This window comes from Homo sapiens, chromosome 11, assembly GCF_000001405.40.
Source record: "Homo sapiens chromosome 11, GRCh38.p14 Primary Assembly".
Taxonomy (NCBI): Eukaryota; Metazoa; Chordata; class Mammalia; order Primates; family Hominidae; genus Homo; species Homo sapiens.
Window position 1 is genome coordinate 76,692,353 of NC_000011.10, and position 21,510 is coordinate 76,713,862.

The following is a 21,510-nucleotide window of genomic DNA, read 5'->3' on the forward strand; positions in this document are numbered from 1 at the left end:
GGGAATGCAGCTCCTGAAGGTCAGGAGCGAGGGGGCTTGAGAACATGAGGGTCGGGGCTGGCTGGGCTGGAGGTTCCATGTCCCATCCTGGGCCAGGGCTCTATGGGATGAATATTGTCCTTGGAGCCCTTGGGCCAGCCTGAAGAGCCTAAGGTTGGCATGCTGCCCTCCCCATACCTCTCTGCCCTCCGCACACCTCTCTGCCCTCCACACACCTCTCTGCCCTCCCCACACCTCTCTGCCCTCCGCACACCTCTCTGCCCTCCGCACACCTCTCTGCCCTCCGCACACCTCTCTGCCCTCCCCACACCTCTCTGCCCTCCCCACACCTCTCTGCCCTCCGCACACCTCTCTGCCCTCCCCACACCTCTCTGCCCTCCGCACACCTCTCTGCCCTCTGCACACCTCTCTGCCCTCCCCATACCTCTCTGCCCTCCGCACATCTCTCTGCCCTCCCCACACCTCTCTGCCCTCCCCACACCTCTCTGCCCTCCACACACCTCTCTGCCCTCCACACACCTCTCTGCCCTCCACACGCCTCTCTGCCCTCCACACGCCTCTCTGCCCTCCCCACGCCTCTCTACCCTCTCCACGCCTCGCTGCCCTCCCCACAACTCTCTGTGTCCCTTTCTGGCATAAGTCATCCATTCCTCAGGACGCCCAGTGTTCACCCCCCTAAATAAGACACATCTGCCCTGACTTATTCCAGCTCACTCTCCCCTAACCCCAGCCATACAGAGCAAAGGATTCCACATTTGCTGGCCTTCACGGGCTGTGTGATCATGAACAAGTTGCTGCCCGTCTCTGTGCTGCACCCTCCTGCACCGACGTTCCACAGTGTAATGAAGTGAGTCCCATATGGCACCGAATTTCTGGGACCCAGTGCATCAGGCCTTTAAGCTAGATTGCTCCGGTCTCCCTGCTAGACCTGGCTTCAGCTTAGGAATTTGAGGAAGAGGAGGTGGGGTAGGAAGAAAAGTCACTGAAAGGAATGCTGTACCATTGCCTTTATAGAATGGTAATGTTGAGAGAGAATGCACAGGTTACAGACCTTTCTCTGCCTTTGAGGTAATCATGAGCATTAACAACCCAACATTACACTGTAACAGCAGAGAACTGGCCTTGGGACTGGTGGGTACACAGAGAAGGCATGGCAGTCACTGTTTGTGGGGAAGGAGGAGGAAGATGAGTGTTCCTGGGTCAGGGTAGGCTGCAGTGAGAGGTGATGTCTGATCTGGGATTCTGAGGGATGGGCAGGAGCCCAGCAGTGCTATGGAGAAGGCACAAGCTTTGGAGCCATGAGATCTGAATTACGAGCTATGTGACTTTGACAAGCCACTCTGCCTCTTTAATTGAATTTTTTCAACTGTAAAATGGGGACAACGATGCTCCTTTCATTATTACTATGAGTGATAAATATTTTGATGTGTGTTGTACACTGGCGTGCTACACAGACAGGTCATCAGGAGAAGTGACTTCTCTGTCCTGGCCTTTCCTCTCACAAGGAGCAAGATGGCTCCCAGGAAGCAATGTTTCTTTAGAATTTGGAGAGCATAGAGGGCATGTAAAGGTGACCAGCTACATCCCCAACTTGGGCAGCCACATCAGTCAGATAAGAATCTTTCCTGCTTCCCACAGAAACTGGATCCTTGGAGACTTTTCCCACAAAGACCACAAAATTCTCTCACCTTCAGCTCAGTCTGACCTCTGATATCAATTTGGTAGCTTTCATCAAGGCTGAGCAGTATCTGGACAGTGCTTTGGCTGACATGAATTCTGTATGCTGAGAAGAAAGGCAGTCATCAGATCATCACCTGGTGACAGCATACCTAGTATTTGGTAAAATCATTAAGAGGCTGCGACGACTGCAGTTCCAATCAATCATACACATAGTGATGATTTATGCAATACCCTTCTTCTGGGCCTCTTGTCCCTCTAAATTGTTGGAACACTAAAAGAGACCCAGAGGCAAAGCAAATTACATAGGTTGAGTGCTAAGGGGAACTCACGATGGAGTCAGAACCCCTAGGAACATAATTTCTACTTGTAAGCAAGTCTGTGAAGGCTGAGTCTGAGAAGATACACAGTTTTTAGTTTTCTTTTAAGAGCAGGACTTCCCAGTAGAGCCATAGCGTCCAGCTATGCGGGATGTATGTACTCTGAACATTAAGGAGCAACTACCTACACAGCCAGAGGCAGAGGACCTGGGGCTTCAACATCTTAGCTGCTCTAGCCAAGCCATCATGGTAGCTCCTGCTGCCAGTAAGGGCCAAAAACGCTGGGGATGTCTTCATGGTGGTGTCAGGACTGCCCCAGCATAAAAGGAGGTGGCACGTGACCAATTAAAAAAAAAACACTTTAAAGGGTCTCCTCTTTGTACAATGGGGAAACTAAGGCCTACAGGAAGAACATTTTGCCCAAGGACACTAAGCAAGCCAGTTGCAGAGCCAGGGCTAGGACCCAGATTTCCTGCCTTTTGAGTCATTGTTTTCTCTGCTAATGCCCTCATGAGATCACCACAAATATTGTGTGGAAAGTTAAAAGAGCCAATGACGTATATCATCTCCGTCTATTAGGTTGGTGCAAAAGTAATTGCAGCTTTAGCCATTAGCTGTTTTTTTTCTTTCTTTCTTTCTTTTTTTTTTTTTTTTTTGCGATCTCGGTTCACTGCTCTGCCTCCCGGGTTTGGTGGTTCACGCCTGTAATCCCAGCACTTTGGGAGGCCAAGGCAGGTGGATCACAAGGTCAGGAGATCAAGACCATCCTGGCTAACATGATGAAACCCTGTCTCTACTGAAAATACAAAATATTAGCCGGGTGTGGTGGCATGCGTCTGTAATCCCAGTTACTCGGGAGGCTGAGGCAGGAGAATGGCGTGGTCATTAGTTTTAACGCCAAAATGGCTATTACTTTTGCACCAACATAGTAGTTGCTTTCCTGAAAAGTAGGGTACGCCGCCACCAGGTGGTGATTTGGTTACCAAGAACTATATTAAACAGCCAGGCCGCACAGGTTATTGAAAGAGTCTCTCCCCGGGCAGGATAGAAGTGTGAGATACTCATGCAGCCCTGTGGACTCCATCTGGGAAGCCGTGTTGACAGTGTCCCCAGAGAGGCAATACCAAGGCATCGTGAGACCCACGACCCCTGCTGCACAGGGCCCTGAAACTCGAATGTACCCAGTGAGCTCCAGCAGGTCTTGGACCAGAGAGAGAGCCCAGTGACAGCCTCACCCTTCTCTACCCTCCGTGCCATTCCCCACTGCACTTCCTGGGCTCCAGTTGCGGGGTGAGGATAAAGCTAACTGGAGTCTCCAATGACATCCAGAGAGGAGCTGATGCTTGTGCCAGGCTCTGTGCTGGAGGTGAGGGGCCGTAGATAGATCAGAGCCCCTCCCTGCTCTTGCGCAGCTCCCAGCCTGGTGGGGAGAGATGTGTAACCTGCAATCAAGGCTGTGATGAAAGAAGCACCAGGACTGTGCCAGCACCAAAAAGGGCCTCTAACCCAGCCCAGGGGACTTGCTGGAGAAGAGGATACATGTGCTCTGTTTTGAAGGATGAGAGAATGAGTGGGCAGGGAACAGCAGGTGCAGAGGCACAGAGGCAGGGAACCCGTGTGTGTGAAACTGCACACAGCAGAGTGTGGATGGAGGGCCATGCAGGAAGTGGTGGGAGATGCGGTTGGAGAGGCTATGGCAGTGGCGGGGCGGTGGTGGCAGCGCCAATGGACTTTATCCTGCAGGCGAGGGGAACCATGGTGGAAGGAGTAGGGACATGGGAAGGGTATACTCATGACTCTGAGGGCTCTCCCAGATCCATCCCAGCAATCATTTGGTTGTTTGCATGACCACAGAAGGTTTCTGTCCTGCCTCTTCCATCAGACTATCAGCATCACATATTCTCTTTTTTTTTTTTTGGAGACAGAATCTTACTCTGTTGCCCAGGTTGGAGTGCAGTGGCTCCATCTTGGCTCACTGCAACCTCCGCCTCCCGGGTTCAAGCAATTCTTGTGCCTCAGCCTCCTGAGTAGCTGAGATTACAGTCATGCACCACCACGCCCAACTAATTTTTGTATTTTTAGTAGAGACAGGGTTTCTCCATGTTGGCCAGGCTGGTCTCAAACTCCTGACCTCCTGTGATCCCACTGCCTGGGCCTCCCAAAATGTTCAGACTACAGGCGTGAGCCACCGTGCCCGGCCAGACTCTCTTATTTATAACATAATTAGGACCCCAAAATAATGTAAGGAAAAAGAAACGTAAAATGTTTTTACTATAGAGTTTTGAATCTCAGACATCCAGAAGCATGCCACTGGAGGCGTCCCAGCCAGCGCCCCAGGGAAGATTGGGAGATGGATGTGGCCCCCTCACCCTGGAGGCCCCTAGCCCATACCTGAATGCAGGCCAGCCCTGATGCAAATGGGCACGTTGGGTGCATGCCTCTTCCGGAAGTCACCCACAGAGCCAAGGATATCCAGAGCCATGTTATTGATCTCGGCCGCATGCTGACTGCCATTGCACTGAGGCAGCCCCCACACCACCATGTAGGCGTCCCCAATGGTCTCCACCTAGAAACCACAGCCTTCACAATCCAGCGTGAGAACATATCCTCGCTGGCCCACCACACATTCTGCTACACATGGCTGCTTCTCGGGAGTCCCAACCCGCCCCGTGGGTCTCTGGCCCGCAGTGCCATCTTTGCCAGGCCTCCAGTGCCAAGCACTTTAGCAACGATTGGATCTGTACATTTCAGATCACCTTTGTCTGTATTCCAGGTGACAGTGGCTTTTTTTTTTTTTTGTCTCTGGCCTCAGTCCACAAGCTCCTTGGTGGCAGAGCTGGGTACCCCATCTGCTCAAGGCCATACTGGCACATCAGGGATTAATTTGGAGAGGACCGTATATATTTAGAGGACGCCTCCAATTTTCCAAACCCTGCTGGCCTTCCAAAGGTTTACTGGAAAGAATGTAGGTTTTGGAATGAGACAGATGTAGGTTCAAGCCCTGGCCCTGCCATTTACCTGGACGACTTCACCTGGGCGAGCCTCAGTTTCCTCTTACGTGGAATGAATGTTAGAGGTGAAGTATTTACAGAAGCAGGCATACCAGTGCTGAATACACAGAGGCTGCTGTCGTCCTCCTCCTCATCATCACGGTTTTGGAATCTCCTAACTGGAAGGGGCTTTGCTGGTCACCCACCCAATTTCCCCCACCCCAGTTGCTGTCCTTGCCCACTCACATCCCTCGATAGGAAAGTCTCTCCTTCTTCAGTAGCCACTTCTCTCTTTAGGCAACTCCGATTTTCTTTCTTTCCTCTTTCTTTCTTTCTTTCCTTCTTTCTTTCTTTCTTTCCTTCTTTCTTTCTTTCTTTCCTTCTTTCTTTCTTTCTTTCCTTCTTTCTTTCTTTCTTTCCTTCTTTCTTTCTTTCTTTCTTTTTACCAAGGTTGCCCAGGCTGGAGTGCAGTGGCGTGATCTCAGCTCACTGCAACCTCCGCCTCCTGGGTTCAAGTGACTCTCATGCCTCAGCCTCCTAAGTAGCTGGGACTACAGGCGTGAGCCACCACGCCTGGCTAATTTTTGTATTTTTTGTATAGATGGGGTTTCACAACGTTGGCCAGGCTGGTCTTGAACTCCTGACCTCAGGTGATCTGCCTGGCTCAGCCTCCCAAAGTCCTGGGATTACAGGTGTGAGCCACTGCCCCCAGCTGCAACTCTGATTTTCAAAACTTGAGTTGAGTTAAAACCTGCCTTTCACCGGCTGGTTCCAGCTCCACCCCCTGAACTGGACCCATATACCTTTCCTAAGCACCTTCCTCTGTTCCTAAGTCCCTGTTCTAGGTGCTTGGAACACAGATGTGAATGAAGCATAGCCTTCTCCCCTGCCACAGGCCAAGCCTGCCAGGGTGAAGACAGTGACTCTACCCTCTGAGTCTTTCCTGGCTCCTGCACTGTTCCTCCTACAGCAAGTACATGTTGGCTTCACTGGGCCTGGGCGGCAGAGCCTCCCTTGCCAGGCACTTCTGCACTTAGCGCCTGGTACACAAGAATCGTGATGCTCCACAGCCCTTAGGGGGCGCTGTAATTCAAAAAATTTCTCACGCAACATGCAAGTGTGGGCTGTGCCCCACTACCAACGCCCCCACGACCCTGTGATCTCTCCCTCACCCCGACTGTCCTCCACCTCACCACCAAAAAGTGATCTGCCCTAATCACATCACATTCCGCTCTGATATGCACTTCAATTTGCTCCCTATGGCCATGGCTTAAAATTCAGGCCCCCTGGCCTAGCTATCAAGGGCCTCCTTCATCTGCAGGATTTCCTGACGTTTTCTAACAGTTGCTTCTGGTTCCCCATGCTTCAGCCAGACAGAAACCCTTTCTACCATTTCAAGAGACACCTACTGCTTGCTCACGTCTGCCAGGTCCCTCTGCCTGAAAAGCTATCCCAGTCTCTAACTGCTGAAATCCCACCCCTCCATCGGTCCCGCTCACACGTGATCTAGGGCACAGAATCTTCCCAGTCCCCAGCTGTGAGAAAGATGTTTCCCTCCTCTGGGCTGTGGCCTGCTCTCTCGCCCTGCGGCCTGCCTGCTGCTGTCCACCCAGCATTCATTGGCTGGTGGTAAGAGTGGCGGGGGTGGTGGCAGGGCTGCCCCAAGCTGTGCACCTTTCCACAAAAGAGATTTTCCACTCCACTCCCCAGGAGGGAAAATTTTGAGAGACTCCTGGCTTTCCCTTCTCTCTCTTCTTCCTCACCGCAGGAGGTGGAATGCCTTACTTGATTGGCGAGACGGAAAAAGGACTCAGTGCCTCTTAAATACTCGTATAGTGCTCACTATGTGCCATACACAGTCCCAAACCCTTTACAATTATGAACGCATTAGATCGTCACAAGAATTCGGGGATGTGAGTACTATTACTAAGGCCATGTTATAGGTGAAAACTGGGTCAGAGGCATTAAGTCACTTGCCATGGTCACTTGTAGCCAGTGCGTGGGTTTGAACTTGGTCAGTCCAGCTCCAGAGTCTGTGCACTATGCTGCCTCTTGATGGACATGGCTTGGGCCCTTTCTCTCTCTCTTTTGAGGAGGTTCTGCTCCCACCCTGCCTGCTGGGTGTGCAGCTGTGATTCAGGGACGGTGCACCAGCTCTGGGGACCCAGCCCTGCCTCAGATGTGTGCCCCCACAGTCCAGACTAGAGGGGAGGAGTAGAAAGCCTCATAGTGGCCACACAACCAGACCACATTCTCTGATCTGCTAAAGCTGATCTCTAAGCTGCTGACCTGCCTGATGCCTGAGCTGGAAGGGAACATGCAGGGTGATTAACATTCACTCCTTACCCCTAGAGACAGAAAGATGACCAGGCACAGGCATGCTCTCCAGGGACTCGTAAAGGTGATGTATTCAAAGCTGCCTATCATAGTGGGCTCTCAGCTGTAAGTGAGGCAGTGGTTCCCTTCACAGATGGGAGAAACAGCCAGGGGAGAGGTGCAAGCAAAGGGTCCATACTATCAAACGCAGATGTGAATTCTAACCCCACCACTGACTTGCTGTGTGACCCTGGGTGAGTCATTTACCCTCCCTGTGCCTGCATCCTCATCTGTACAGTAGGGATAGTAATCCATACCCCTGACAGGCACTGAAAGGGTTAGATTAGATCACTTGTGAAATTTCCCCAGCCAACTTAGCCCTCTGTAGGTGATTAACTAATGCTGCCCTTTCCCTCTGTGCTTTCAGCATCTGGCATGTGGCAGGTGCTCAAGGTTAAGGTGGTGCCTAAATGACCAATGGTGCTTTCTCTCACATTCCTTAATCTGCAGAGCAATCCTAAACCAGAGACACTTTCATCCCTGTTTTATAAGTGGAGTACTGAGGCTCAGAGAGGTGACGTGCCCAGGGTGGCTTGGCAGTAGGGCCAGGGCAAGACTTACGCCTGGCTGAGCCACAGGTGGGGCTGAGGCCTTGCCTCCGTGACAGTCCCCAGCGGCTCCGCTCTGGAGTCATGTCCATGAAAGTGCACACTCAGCGAGCGTGGGAGGGAATTGCAGACCCCTGCAAAACCAGGAAATGATTGTCTGGCTGCCTCCCAACCCAGACCGGATTAAAGAGCAGTAACCAGATCCTGTTGGGGACGAAGGGGAAACCAAGGTGGATGGCGTGAGTGATGAGAGACACTTGCACACCATGAAGAAGGGGCCTCCTCTTTCCCCACATCTGGAGGGTTGTGTGGGCCTTGTTTGATTTCATTTCATTCTGCCAGAAAGATGCAGACCTCCTGGCCAGGGTTCAGAGCAGATGAGAAGGGATGATTCAGAGCCAGGGGACACATGTGTGAGGAAAGATTAGCAGTGGAGGAAGACATAAGGCCGGGGTGACTCAGGGCAGATCAAAGCTGTGGGGCTCAGCGAGATGAGATGAGGAATGTTTTCCTGGGGCTGTGGGGCCAGGGTGGCTCTGGAGGCAAGAGGGAAACTCAGGAACGCCTTGGAACCGCAGGCCAGGGCGGGGATCTAAGGTCCTGAGTGGGGAACAGGAGGGAAGCTGCACCCTTGGGTGTCAGTGGTGCAGGTCCCTGTGGGTGTGTGTCGGTCAGTATGGTGCAGTGGATGGAGCACCATGGTGGATGCCATAGGTTCCTGTCCTGGCTCTGCTGATGGCCAGCTGTGTGACCTTAGGTGGGTCACTTCCCTCTCTGTGCCTCAATGTCCTCCTCATTCCCTCAACACACATTTCCTGAGGATCTATGATGTGCTGAACACTGCCGGCCACTGGGGAGTAATTCAGTGTGGAAACATAAAGTGCAATGTAGGGGGAGTTATGCGAGCATCAAACAGGTGCCCCTAACTGTATCTAGGAGGGGGAGAAGGCTAACCCGAGACCAGACACACGGCCAGGAGGGAGCTAGGTGAAGAGGAGGGAGAGTGCTGCTCCAGGAGGAGAAACAGAGGTCCCAAGGCCTGGTGGCTAGAGACAGCGAGGCATGTGTGAGGATCCAGAGGCCTGCAGAGGTGGAGCGGCTAGAGACACAACTGGGGAGGTAGGTAGGGCAGCTCCTGGAGGGCTTGTGGGCCATTATGAACCCACAGCTTTATCCTGAGGATGTCTATGTCATGGGGATGGTGAGCCTCCCTGAAGAAGGGCCTTTGGACCAGCATAATCAGGTTCAAATCTTGGCCTCAGATCCCACTAGGATGATGTTAACAAATAAGCCACTTAGCCTCTGCTGCCTCATTTTCCTCATATATAAATTAGCAGTACCACTTCATACCTCATGAATTGTTTTGCTGAATAAATGGGCTGATACATATAAAGCATTTAATACTAGCATCCAGTATACACTAAACACTCAATAAGTGTTGGTGATTATTGTTGTTGGGGTACTATAAATAATGCTATCAGCAGATTGTCTGGCATCTCAAAGAGTTCATCGTGTCCTCGGAAAATTCCTCCCAAGGCATCCTTTTCAATCTGGCTTCAGCCCTCAGGGCCTGGCCCTCCCCTGCCTCTGCCTTTGTGGAGGGCCGTGGCTGGACAGGGCTGGTGAGTCACAAATTAGGGCTAAGGCCAATAGAGCCTTGGTGTGTTGTTTCCTGGGACCTTCCTCCGTACCTTCCCTACCATGTCTGAAGCTGCCCCTAGACCCCCTGGATCAGAACGAGGAGAAGGGTTGGGGTTGGAAGGTCCCCACAGCATGGGCAGAGTGGAGGAGTGGCAGGCAGGAGGTGACTACCTCTCACACTCCATGCTTGACACCCACTTGCGCATGGGGGACAGGATCCTCCCATCCTCCGTGAACACCCCCAGGACTGTGCTCACCATTCCTGTTCACTGTCAAAGAAACAGAGGCCCAGAGAGGGGAAGCTGTTAGCCCAAAGCCACACAGAAGCTGGTGGCCAGGCTGGGGCTCAAACCCAGGACTGAGAGGTGCACAGGGAGGGGTTTGAAGGCCCTGCTGAGGCCTCTGCTGTTCTCTCCAGTGCCCCCAACTCCCCACTCCTGGCCCATTCCTGTCCAGCCAGCCCAGCTTATTCAGCATTGCCACACTCACCAGGCCCTCTGAAGCCTCAGGCTTTAGCATATTTTTCCCCCATTGCCTGCTTAGGACTGCCACTCCCAGACGGGACAATGCTGGGAAGACAGCACCTCTTCCAGGAAGTCTTCCCTGCTCTTTACACATCTACCCCTAGCTGGGTTGGGGCCCTCTCAGCCTCCTCTGCCTCCCAGGATTATTACTTTCACTGCGGGTCATTATCTTTTACCTACAGGACTGAGAGCTCCTTGAGCATAGGATTGGGAGCTGAGTCATCTGTCTGCTCATGCCCAGCACAGGGTCAGGCACAGAAGAGCCTGCTGATAAGATTGTAAAGGGATGGATAGATGGACAATGGACAAGTAAACACTGTGGTCCATTAAATGCAAAATGGCCCATATCCTCCACCCCCTCTATGTTCACCCCATTGCAATGGGACTCTGAAGCTTCTTCCATCAAGAGGTGGACTTTGTTTCCTCAGCTCTTGAATCTGAGCTAGTCTTTCATTTTGACCAATAGAATACATCAGAAATTGTAATATGCCTGATCCCAGATTAGATCTCAAGAGCCTTGTGTACTTCTGTCCTCTCTCTCAGAACCCTGCCACATCATGTAAACAATCCCGGACTAGCCTGCTGGAGGAAGATAGACTGTGGAACAGAATTGAGTTCCACAAGGCTCCAGAGACATGAGAGAACCCAACTGAGATCAGCAGAGCAGCTACCTCACCCATGGCTGACCACAGATGTATGAGTGTGTCCAGAAGAACTTTCTGGTGGCCCCATAGGTTTGTGAACAATAATAAATGCTTATCATTTTACCCTATTGAGTTTGGGGGTATTTATTATACAGCAATAGCTAGCTGATATAAATACATAAATAAATGAATGGAAGTAATTGTACCATCAAGGCACAGTAGTAAAGGGAGGAATGGAATGCCAGCCTCCTGGTATTCTCACCTTATACAGGTCATGGCTGCCCAGAACAGCATCAAACAGCATGTAGAGATCGTTGAGCAAGCCCACCGCCTCAATGGGTTCACTCAGGGCTGAGATGATGGTGAAACCCACAATGTCACTGAAGTATATGGTAACCTGGTCAAAATACCCTGGTTCCACAGTTGCCCCCATTTTCCGAGCTTCAGCCACAGACCTGAAGGGATGGGAGGGGCCAGACACATAAGGTATGAGGGTCTATTTTTGACAGTTTGGAGGCTAGGAAGGGATATTTGAGAGGAAACTGTGTTGAGCATCAGCAGATCTGGTTCAAGTCTGCTGCAGTGCTGACTGCCCTGGAGTGAATACTTGCCCTCTCTGGACATGACTTCCTCTGAAGTGATATTGGGGTGGGGGAAGCATTGTGCCCAGCTCCTTGCTCCCAAGGATGTGAGAGAGCAGAAATTCTACTCACATGCCCAACAGAGTACCTGGCACATGGTGAGGGCTCTATAAAAATATGTTGTATAAGCCATGTGCAGTGGCTCACGCCTATAATCCCAGCACTTTGGGAGGCTGAGGAAGGAGAATCACTTAAGGCCAGGAGTTTGAGGCCAGCCTGGGCAACATAGTGAGACCCTGTATCTAAAATAATAGTAATAAACAAAACTAACTAAACTAACTAACTAAACAAAATAATGTGCTGCATAAGAAAAATGTTAGATACATAAACATGGATGAGTGAATTGAATAAATTCATGGAATCCAGATCTGCTGAGCACCCACTATATTCCAGGCCCTGTGCTTAGAGCTAAGGCTAGAGGCACACTCAAGTCCAGGGGCCACTCACGGGGGAATCATCTGACAGAGCAGCCTTTCTGTCTTCTCTCTCTTCAGCTCCAGTTCCTCAGTCTGCTCCTGAATCAGGTCCTCCAGGTTCTGGGAATATTTCTCCAGCAACCACAGCATGGAGTCAGCAACACTGGTCCTCTTGCCTTGGTTGATGCTTTTGAACTGAAAATGGAACAAAAATGCCAAGTCATCCATGAAGGTCAGCACACCTGGTCCTCAGCTGGGAGTCTGGGGCCACAGAAATGCACCAAACAGAATCCCCGCTTGAAGGAGCTGCATTGTTGTGGGGAATAGATATGTAAATTACAGGGGGATGGTGGCTCTGACAAGGGAAAAGTGCAGTCAGCTTTGTGCCAGATTAACGGGTTAATTCTGTGTGGGGTGGGCAGGCAGCAAGAGGACTTTGCAAAGGAGCCTGTACCCAGCACAGCATTATGGTTAACAAACACAATCCTATTGCACTGGGTCTCACAACAACGCTGTGAGATTCTTTGTTCTTCTCAAAGATAGACAGACAGACAGACAGATAGATAGATAGATAGATGATAGATAGATAGATAGATAGATAATAGACAAACAGATGGATGGTTGGACAGATGGACAGACAGATGGATGGATGGATGGATGGATGGATGAACAGATGGTTGGATGGATGGATGGATGGATGGACAGATGGAAGGGTAGGTGGATGATGGATGGATGGATAGATAGAAAGAATATATGTAGATTATTTATACGTATAATCTGTCTCTATTTCTACTTTGTTCCTCCGAAATTTTAATGATGAAGAAGAATAAAAGCAGTACCACACAATAAAATAATAAACGTGTGAGGATATTAGGACCAAAGGAGAGTAAAGCCTTTTTTTAAAAAAAGGTAAATCTAGGAGTGAAATCTGTATGCAAAATCCATGCTAGAATTTGGTCACCATTTTGGATATGAGCTTCCTAGCAACAAAGCAAAGAGGGAAATATAGATTACACAATCCATGGGGTCCATAAGACAATGAAACATTAAACTAATTGCTCAAAAGAAATACAACTACTCCTAGTGCCAAGCAAAGAGAAAAGCCTCTTAGTTCTTTGTATGAGAACCCTTATGTGTGATCATAAACTACATCTTCAACAACAACCTTACAGGACATCTGGCAGCAGTTTTCCTAGGAAGACTTACTAGAACCTTACCCAGTGTGGTTTGCACCTTCCCAGAGTGCAGTCAGTAAGAGAAGCAAATCAATGATGGTCAAAGTGAAGGGGTCCATGCTTGCCAAAATCCAGCATCTTGAACGTGTAAGAGTGTGTGCGTGTGTGCGTGTGCACGTGTGTGTGTGTGTTGTGTGTGTGTGTAGGTATGCACATCCAACCTCCATTAATGCCACATCTCTCAGCCAAATGTCTGCAAGGTAGGGAGTGGCAGCAGCCCCTGAAATGCACCTATTTTGTATTGTCCAACAAAAGCTTTACAGGGTGAGCATGACAGCTGCTGACCTTGAGACACCAACAAGGACATGAAGCCAACTCCAAGGTCACCTCTGCATGGAAGGTCACCATTTCATAAATGAAGAGACAAAGGATCTGAGAGGTGGAATAACTTGCCAAGGAGCACACAGTGGTGGATCTGAGTTTCAAACTAAAGTCTTTTATATTAATTTTATCACCAGGCACCCCACTGAATTATTTTATCATTTGGAATTATGTATATTTCTTCTTCCTTTCCAAAATTAATTTTCTCATCTAATTGCATTGGCTACTACTCCTAGAACAATGTGAAATGAATATAAACCCAGGCCTTTTTTTTTTTTTTTTCGAGGCAGAGTTTCGCTCTTGTTATCCAGGCTGGAGTGCAATGGCGCAATCTCGGCTCACCACAACTTCTGCCTCCCGAAACCCAGGCCTTTTGACTTTAATGTCAGTGTTCTTTCTCTTGTACCTTACTCACTCTCTCCTTCTCAAAGAGCTACATTTAAAAAAAATTAGTTATCTCACTGGATGGTCACACCTATCTGGAGAGTTAGGCCAGGGTTAGTTATCTTTCCAGGAAACATACAGGGAGGCTGAGGCCCAAGAGGACCATTAACTTGTCCAAGGTCAAACAGTGGGTAAGTGGGATGATTATCCACTGGATTCTCACATAGATGTGAATCCAGGCATCTGACCCCTCACCTCCCCACAGTGTGATGCCATTCCCCCCTTCTTCAGGTGGAATTCATGTGTGCCCATCTCAGCCTTCTTTGCCATGGGGCCTTGGCCAGGAATCTTGGGCAAGAATCCCACAGTCACCCCTCACTCAAGGCAAGAGCCCTTCCCCACCTCACTGGCCATGGCAACCTCCGATCCCCTGGAAAGATTCCAAGCTTGTGCTTTAGAAACTGGTTGCTCACCCTAGCTCTGCTACCCACCATTATGGTGACTGTTTAGAGGTCATTTACTCTGAGCTCTAGATTTCTCATCTGTGGAGGGGGGCACCACCCCTGATGCCAGAGCTAAGTGGGGAGGGGTTGTGGGAAGAGAGGGGATGGGCAGGGCTTCTCAAAGGACACCTGTGTGCGTCTCCTTGGACTGCCTTGCTGCCTCTCTCCCTCTCATCACCTGTCCTAACCCCTTTATTGTTCCCTGAACCACTCCTTGGCAACTCTCCACCATGGCTGGGGTGTGGAGGACGGGGAGGGGAGGCACTGTTCCCTTGGGTCTGATGGGTTGGCCCCGTGGAAGCCATCGGCCAGCTTCGTCATGTTCACATACTCCACTGCTGCCCTGCCAGCTTGCACAGACTTGCCTTGCCCCTCCCACTGAAATCCCCAAGGCAGTCCTGGGGGGCCCCAGGGCCCCTCACATTTTCCCCTCACTGACTCAGGAAGTAGTACTGTCTCCACAGCCACAGTGGCCTCTCTCCTCTAGTGCCAGAAGGCCTGGTACAAGGCAGGGTTCCTGGTACAGCTCTGCAGAAAGACAGACAGACCTGGGTTGGACTCCAGCCCCATCTTTCACTTGCTCAGTTACCTTGGGCAAGTCCCCCCACCTCTCCAGGCCTCATTTCTCTCCCACGAAGCCAAGAAACTAACACTGTTTCTTCAGAGGGCTGTGGCGAGGATGAAAGGAGGGGAGCATGGCCCTCAGCATGGGGCTTGACACTCAGGAAGGCATGGGACAAACGTCCCTGGAACCTGTGGTCCTAAGAAAGTTCTCCTTAAAAGGTGGACCTCAGGGGTGACAGTGCTGGGTGGTTGCCCCTTACTGCATGGCTTTCCAGGTCCCAGGGAACTCACAGGGCTTGCATTGAGCTAAGTGAGCTGAACGAATGGGCCATTTTTTGTGAGCACCTGCTCCTCTGGGGAGCACTCACCTGGCTGTAGATCTGGTCCATGCTAGGTCTGTCCTCTGGAGCCTCGTCCCAGCACTTCTTCATCAGCCAACGCACTCAGGCGGCCCGTGATCAGGGGTCACCAGCGGCCGGCACAGAGGAGGGGGAGATGCCACCCTCCTGATGATTTCGGCAACCAACACCATGGGGCGGGCCTGGGGTCCTGGGAAAGGTCATGAAAGGAGCCTGGCCTCGGATCCTGAGAGCGTGGGCAGAGTAGGCTTATGGCGGTGCCAGGTTCTGGGCCTGAGGATATTCCTCAGCTCCTGTTTCCAGGGTATGGCTGGCCAGTGGATGTGGCATTATTGTTCTCCTGGGTCTACCCTGGGTGTGGCCAAGGAAAGGGTCTCAAACTGGGGGCCAGGAGAGCCGCGAGCTGGTTTTGAATTCTGGATCTGCCACCACAATACTATGGGATGGTGGAGAAGACAATGACCTCTCTGAGCCTTAGTCTCCCGATCTGTGAAATGAGCATATAAACTGCCTTCTTTTTTCTTTTTTTTTTCTGTTCTTTTTTTTTTTTTAATGTCGCGATCCCAGCTCACCACAACCTCTGCCTCCCAGGTTCAAGCGATTCTCCTGCCTCAGCCTCCAGGCATGCACCACCACGCCCAAATAATTTTGTATTTTTCATAGAGATGGGGTTTCTCCATGTTAATCAGGCTGGTCTCAAATAAACTGCCTTCTTGAGAGGAGTGCTGAGGTGGAAGACGACGGATGTTAGCACCTGGCAGACTCTCCCCCACCCTCAGGCCCCGCAACAACTGCCGCTGCTCTGTTGCCAACAATGCCCACCAATGATCTTGAAACCTTGACAGCGCAGCTCTTTCCTCCAGCCTTGCCACGCAGACACTGGCGTGCCGGTTCCCCACAGGTGTGAACGACACTGCCTGCTTATCATTATCATCATCATTATGATTCTGTCCTCAAGAAAACCTGGCCACATGTCATCCTGTCTCCACACCAGGCTAAGTCAGTGCTCTAGTTCTGCTATGACTCTGAGCCTCAGTTTCCCCACCTAACAACTGATGGAAATAACCCCTGCCTCGGGGGGGCTGCTGGAGAGCCAGGGGGAGCCGAGCGATTCTAAAGTAGGCTGGGGGGAAGAGGGGCTGACACCGAGCTCAGGCTCTGGAGTCCACAGATCAGAGCGGGACTTTAGACGACCCATTTACAGTCCGCACAAGGCGCATCGCCTCTCTGAGCCTCAGCTTCCTCACCTGGAAGACGGGTATAACCATACTACATATTTGGAAGGGTTGTCATGAGGCAGAGTAGGTTAATCTCCTCTGAGGAGGGCCGGGATCCTCCTCTCATGAGTGAGGGAGGTGGGAGCCCTTGGAGCCAGGGAGGAGAAATTTCTTTCTGGGTTTCAGTCCCCTTCCCATCCCTTTTTGGCTTCTTGTTGGGGATAGTGCAGGAGTCACCATTCCATTTTACAGACAGGGAAACTGAGGCTCCTGGGAGTGAAATCAGGTACCCACATAGGGCCAGTCAAAAGCAGACACTAGAACGGGGCCTGGTTTGCACCCAGCCTGCACGATCTCCTCTGCCCAGAGGTTCCCAGCCTACAGGCGTTAGACCCTGAGGGCCCCCGAGTGTGGGATCTGGGAAGTCATATGTGCTTACAAAAGACTGTGTGCTGATGGAACCAGTCATACACCACATGCACACATGTACTACTGATTTTCAAAGGTATGCAGATGGCACTGTAACGAATACAAACAAATCCATTTCAAAGTGTTGCTGATTTCACAGCCGATTTTATCATTGGGTATGTTCTCAGTTAGTGGATATTAGAAGTCAAATAGTAGCATAAGAGGCTCTAACCATTTTTGACATTAAAATGGAGTCTTCATAAGTGAACATGCTGGGAACCCCTGCCCCAGGCCAGGCTAGGTCTCATGCTCCCCTCACTGCGCCAGGCATGCTGTCCACACCCCAGGCATAGCCATGATTTATGGACAGTGCTGAGGGCTGGGGGAGGAGGCTGAGCATCCAGCTCTGGTGGGATCTGGCTGGGCTCTAAGAGGATGCCCCACGGATGACACCAAGAGATTTTAGAACACTGAGCTTGGACCAGGGATGTCCACCCAATCCCAGGTCCACAGCTTCCCCTCTGAGAAGTCCCTTCCACTCTCTGAGCCTCACTGAACTCTAAAAGGGGGGCGATTAGCCACCTCCCAGGGTTGTCAAATGGAATCATGCACATGAAAGTGCCTTGGGAACTGCAAAGTGACCCCCCACCCACAGGATCCTAAAGAGATGTTAGAGTCAGGAGAGAGCCTGGGACCCCCCTTAGCACGCTCCTCACATCACCCTGCAGATATTTATTGAGGACCCACTGCATGCCAGGCCCTCTGTCTACAGCATTTCACTGAATCCTCACAGCTGCGCTGGAAGGCAGACATCATGGTTCCCATTTTACAGATGAGAACACTGAGGCTTGGAGCCTAAAAGGGATTTACTCAAAGTCACGAGGCATGTTGGTGTGGAGCTGGGCTTAGGATGGTGTTCCCTGGAGCCTGTGGCGTGAGCCCTGTACTCCCTGAGGCCTAGGAAAGCACACAGCAGGAAGCAGTGGGCCCTAGGCTGACAGCCTCCTCAAGGGTGGCCAGAGCATTCCAGACCTGGGTCCCTGCACCCAAAGCTGGATGGAGCCAGGCCTGGAGCGCCTTGCACTGGTGGCATGGCTTGCAGATCCCATCTGGCCAGTCCTTCCCTCCTCAGAGGCAGATGATGGGGAGGCAGCCGAGGAGTGTTGAACAAATGGTCTTATAAGGCCCCCCTTCTTCCCACTCCTCCACCTCATAAATTTGGGCCTGGAATGCTCATTATTCACAGGGCTGTGGTGGAGAAAGGCAGTGGGGCTGGGTCTCCTGTGAATTAAAGATTATCCACTGGGGTGGGAGCTGATGGTGAGCTCGGCACCGTCACTGCTCTGCACTGTGGGCCGAGGTGCCAGGTGTCTGTGGAGGGCCAGGTCCCTGGGACTGGGAAGAGGCAGCAGGAGGATGACAGAAAGAGAAGTCTGGGGTCCAGGGAGCCAGACAGAGAGCACAGAGGGGAGGAAACATTTTTGGAGTTGGGCCTTGGCACTGGGGCTGGAAGAGAGAAAGTGTGTACAGGCCAGGTGACGATGGGGAAGCTGCAAGTGATTATCCTGGGGAGCCAGAAGTGTGAGGACAGAGATGCTCTGAAGGAGCCTGCCTGGGCAGGTAACGAAGCCCCGTGGTATTGAGCAGCCTGGCCACGTTGGCCAAGGGGCTGGGGATCTGGCACATTGGTTACTGGATTCCCATTTATAGATGACAACACTGAGGCTCAGAGAGGGTAAGCGGTTTGTGTAAGGTCACAGAGTAAGACAGTGACACAGCTGGAGTAGGGCTGAGCTCTGTGTAGCCTGTGCTGGGCATGGAGGGCAGGTGCAGGCGGGGCATGAGCACCTACAGGCATGGCAGTGACACTGGGGAGGAAGGCAGGGGCGGGGATTTTCACCCAGAGCACAACGTCCTTAGCCCCTGGAGTGGGTCAGCTGCTATTCTGGCAGAGTTGCTGAAGGCTGTAGGGAAAAGAAAGAGAAATCAGACTGTTACTGTGTCTATGTAGAAAGGGAAGACATAAGAGACTCCATTTGGAAAAAGACCTGTACTTTAAATAATTTCTTTGCTGAGATGTTGTTAATTTGTAGCTTTGCCCCAGCCACTTTGACCCAACCACTTTGACCCAACCTGGAGCTCACAAAAACATGTGTTGTATGAAATCAAGGTTTAAGTGATCTAGGCCTGTGCAGGACGTGCCTTGTTAACAAAATGTTTACAAGCAGTATACTTGGTAAAAGTCATCGCCATTCTCTAGTCTCAATAAACCAGGGGCACAATGCACTGCGGAAAGCTGCAGGGACCTCTGCCCTGGAAAGCTGGGTACTGTCCAAGGTTTCTCCCCATGTGATAGTCTGAAATATGGCCTCATGGGATGAGAAAGACCTGACCGTCCCCCAGCCCGACATCCGTAAAGGGTCTGTGCTGAGGTGGATTAGTAAGAGGAAAGCCTCTTGCAGTTGAGATAGAGGAAGGCCACTGTCTCCTGCCTGCCTCTGGGAACTGAATGTCTTGGTATAAAACCCGATTGTACCTTTGTTCAATTCTGAGATGAGAGAAAAACCGCCCTATGGTGGGAGGTGAGACATGTTTGCAGTAATGCTGCCTTGTTATTCTTTACTCCACTGAGATGTTTGGGTGGAGAGAAACATAAATCTGGCTTACGTGCATGTCCAGTCATAGTACCTTCCCTTGAACTTCATTATGACATAGATTCCATTGCTCACATGTTTGTTGCTGACCTTCTCCTTATTATCACCCTGCCCTCCTACTACATTCCTTTTTGCTGAAATAATGAACATAATAATCAATAAAAACTGAGGGAACTCAGAGACCGGTGCCGGTGCAGGTCCTTGGTATGCTGATCGCCGGTCCCCTGGGCCCACTATTGTTTCTCTATACTTTGTCTCTGTGTTTTATCTCTTTCTCAGTCTCTCGTCCCACCCAACTAGAAATACCCACAGGTGTGGAGGGGCAGGCCACCCCTTAAAAGGCTGCCCGGTTTAAGTCAAGTTCTCATGGTCAGACTTTAGGTGTGTGTGTCTATGTGGTCTTCAGGCCCAGATTTCCTGATTGCCATAGAATTTCCCACTAGGCAGAGACTCTAGCCAGGGACAGCCAAGAAAGGGGAGGAGGATACCTACCTTCCACTGGAAGTCCCGAGGAGCAGTAGAGTGGGCCCGAGTCAGCACCTCCTGCAGGATGATGCCAGTGCTGAAGATGTCCCCTGTGAGGGTGCGCCGCCCAGGGCGCCCAGGCCCCGGCAGCAGCTCAGGAGCTGTCCATAGCAGCTCTGCAATCATAGGGCAGGGCCATGCCACCATTACCTGCTGACCACCCAAGCCAGGCTGGGTGCATGTATTCTCCCCAATTCACAGGTAAAGAGCCTACAGCTTGTTCAGAGAGGAGAAGCGATCAACTCAAGGTCACCAATACCAGAGGACTGGAGATCTCCCTCTCCCTGCACCTTACAAGCACCTGGTTAAACAGAGGCCCCCAAACCTACTGGCAGCCCCCTGCCTATCCCTGAGCTGACCTTCTGGGGCTGGCCAGGGTTGGGGATCCTGCTAAGTGTCCAGGGGCTCTGCATAACCATGGTCAGTGACCTTGAGCACAAAGCATCTGTCCACCACACAGTTTTGGAACTTGAGGCAGCCAGGAGGGAAATGGTGGTGGTGCAGATACCTCATGCCCTGAGATGGACATAATGGGGGTCCATTGGATCTGTAACGAATGAGAGGAAACCTGGTTCTCTCGGAATTCCCACAAGCCCCAGAAAGCCTTCCTGCCTCCCTGTACCCGTGGCCATGCAGTTTGGATATCCCTGGATTAGACAAAGCTGAAAGAGCCCAGCTGTGGGAAATCTGAGCATCTCCTGTCTCCCTGCCATCCCCACTTCCCTGCAGTGCCAGGCCCAGGGAGGGATCTCATGCAGATCAAATCCAGCAGCAGGGAGGCCTTGAAGGTCCAGTCTAGGTGCAGGACCTCTTTCCGAAGCAGGTTCCCCAGAGATCACGAAAATGCCCAGGCAGGTGGCGACGTTCTCACACCGCAGCTCCCGCATCTGTCAGGGAAATTGGCACCTTAGCAGCCCTCAGGGGCCGTTCGAGGGCTGGACCAGGTGCAATCCACATCTAGGCCACCTGCTCTTAGCACCAAGCACAAGGCTAAGCATGGAGAGGCATCAGAAATGTTGAATGAATGGATGGAAAAACAGACAGATGGATGAATGGGTGGGTGGTGAGGGATGGATGGAGGATGGATGGATGAATGTATGCATGGATAGATGGTGGTGGGTGGTAGATGGATAAATAGATGGATGGGTGGGTGGGGAGCTGGTGGGTAGGCAGGTAGATGGGTGGGTGAGTGGTTGATGGGTGGGAGGGTGGATGGATGATGGGTGAATGGGTGGGTGAGTGGGTACTTGGTGGGCTGGTGGGTAGATGGGTGGGTGGATGGATGGATGAGTGAATGGGTGGGTGGCTGGGTGGATGGATGGGTTGGTGGGCGATTGGTCAGTGGGTGGATGGGTGGTTGGTGGGTGGGTGAGTTGTTGGGTAGGTGGATGGGTGGTTGGTGGATGGGTGTTTGCATGGTTGGTGAGTGGGTGGGCAGATGGATGGGTGGATGGGTGGGTGGATGAACGGGTGGATGGGTGGGTGGATGAATGGGTGGATGGATGGATGGGTGAGTAGATGGGTGGTTGGTGGGTGGGTGGTGAATGGGTGAATGAGTCAATA

The 21,510-nt window shown here is 51.5% G+C and overlaps 1 pseudogene across 1 annotated transcript in view, besides 5 other annotated features; it reads right to left on the reverse strand.

Moving 5' to 3' along the window:
- The window catches only part of GUCY2EP (guanylate cyclase 2E, pseudogene), a 41,624-nt pseudogene that overhangs the window by 12,187 nt on the left and 7,927 nt on the right, over nucleotides 1-21,510 (reverse strand). The window contains exons 7-16 of the transcript NR_024042.2: nucleotides 20,364-20,392; nucleotides 19,915-20,063; nucleotides 15,898-16,090; nucleotides 15,153-15,333; nucleotides 11,809-11,972; nucleotides 10,983-11,175; nucleotides 4,389-4,563; nucleotides 3,011-3,197; nucleotides 2,186-2,307; nucleotides 1,706-1,783 (exon numbers count right to left, since the gene is read on the reverse strand). The product of NR_024042.2 is annotated as a guanylate cyclase 2E, pseudogene (transcript). The remainder of the gene's footprint in view (nucleotides 1-1,705; nucleotides 1,784-2,185; nucleotides 2,308-3,010; nucleotides 3,198-4,388; nucleotides 4,564-10,982; nucleotides 11,176-11,808; nucleotides 11,973-15,152; nucleotides 15,334-15,897; nucleotides 16,091-19,914; nucleotides 20,064-20,363; nucleotides 20,393-21,510) is intronic.
- Nucleotides 5,840-6,420: an enhancer, noted in NCBI's record as "H3K27ac-H3K4me1 hESC enhancer chr11:76409236-76409816 (GRCh37/hg19 assembly coordinates)". NCBI's record gives its function as "activates a minimal SCP1, AML or CMV promoter by ChIP-STARR-seq in primed H9 embryonic stem cells {active_cell/tissue: H9 hESC(primed)}" and the evidence as "EXISTENCE:reporter gene assay evidence [ECO:0000049][PMID:30033119]".
- Nucleotides 6,421-6,999: an enhancer, noted in NCBI's record as "H3K27ac-H3K4me1 hESC enhancer chr11:76409817-76410395 (GRCh37/hg19 assembly coordinates)". NCBI's record gives its function as "activates a minimal SCP1, AML or CMV promoter by ChIP-STARR-seq in primed H9 embryonic stem cells {active_cell/tissue: H9 hESC(primed)}" and the evidence as "EXISTENCE:reporter gene assay evidence [ECO:0000049][PMID:30033119]".
- Nucleotides 7,000-7,579: an enhancer, noted in NCBI's record as "H3K4me1 hESC enhancer chr11:76410396-76410975 (GRCh37/hg19 assembly coordinates)". NCBI's record gives its function as "activates a minimal SCP1, AML or CMV promoter by ChIP-STARR-seq in primed H9 embryonic stem cells {active_cell/tissue: H9 hESC(primed)}" and the evidence as "EXISTENCE:reporter gene assay evidence [ECO:0000049][PMID:30033119]".
- Nucleotides 15,612-16,112: an enhancer, noted in NCBI's record as "H3K4me1 hESC enhancer chr11:76419008-76419508 (GRCh37/hg19 assembly coordinates)". NCBI's record gives its function as "activates a minimal SCP1, AML or CMV promoter by ChIP-STARR-seq in primed H9 embryonic stem cells {active_cell/tissue: H9 hESC(primed)}" and the evidence as "EXISTENCE:reporter gene assay evidence [ECO:0000049][PMID:30033119]".
- Nucleotides 17,761-18,262: an enhancer, noted in NCBI's record as "H3K27ac hESC enhancer chr11:76421157-76421658 (GRCh37/hg19 assembly coordinates)". NCBI's record gives its function as "activates a minimal SCP1, AML or CMV promoter by ChIP-STARR-seq in naive H9 embryonic stem cells {active_cell/tissue: H9 hESC(naive)}" and the evidence as "EXISTENCE:reporter gene assay evidence [ECO:0000049][PMID:30033119]".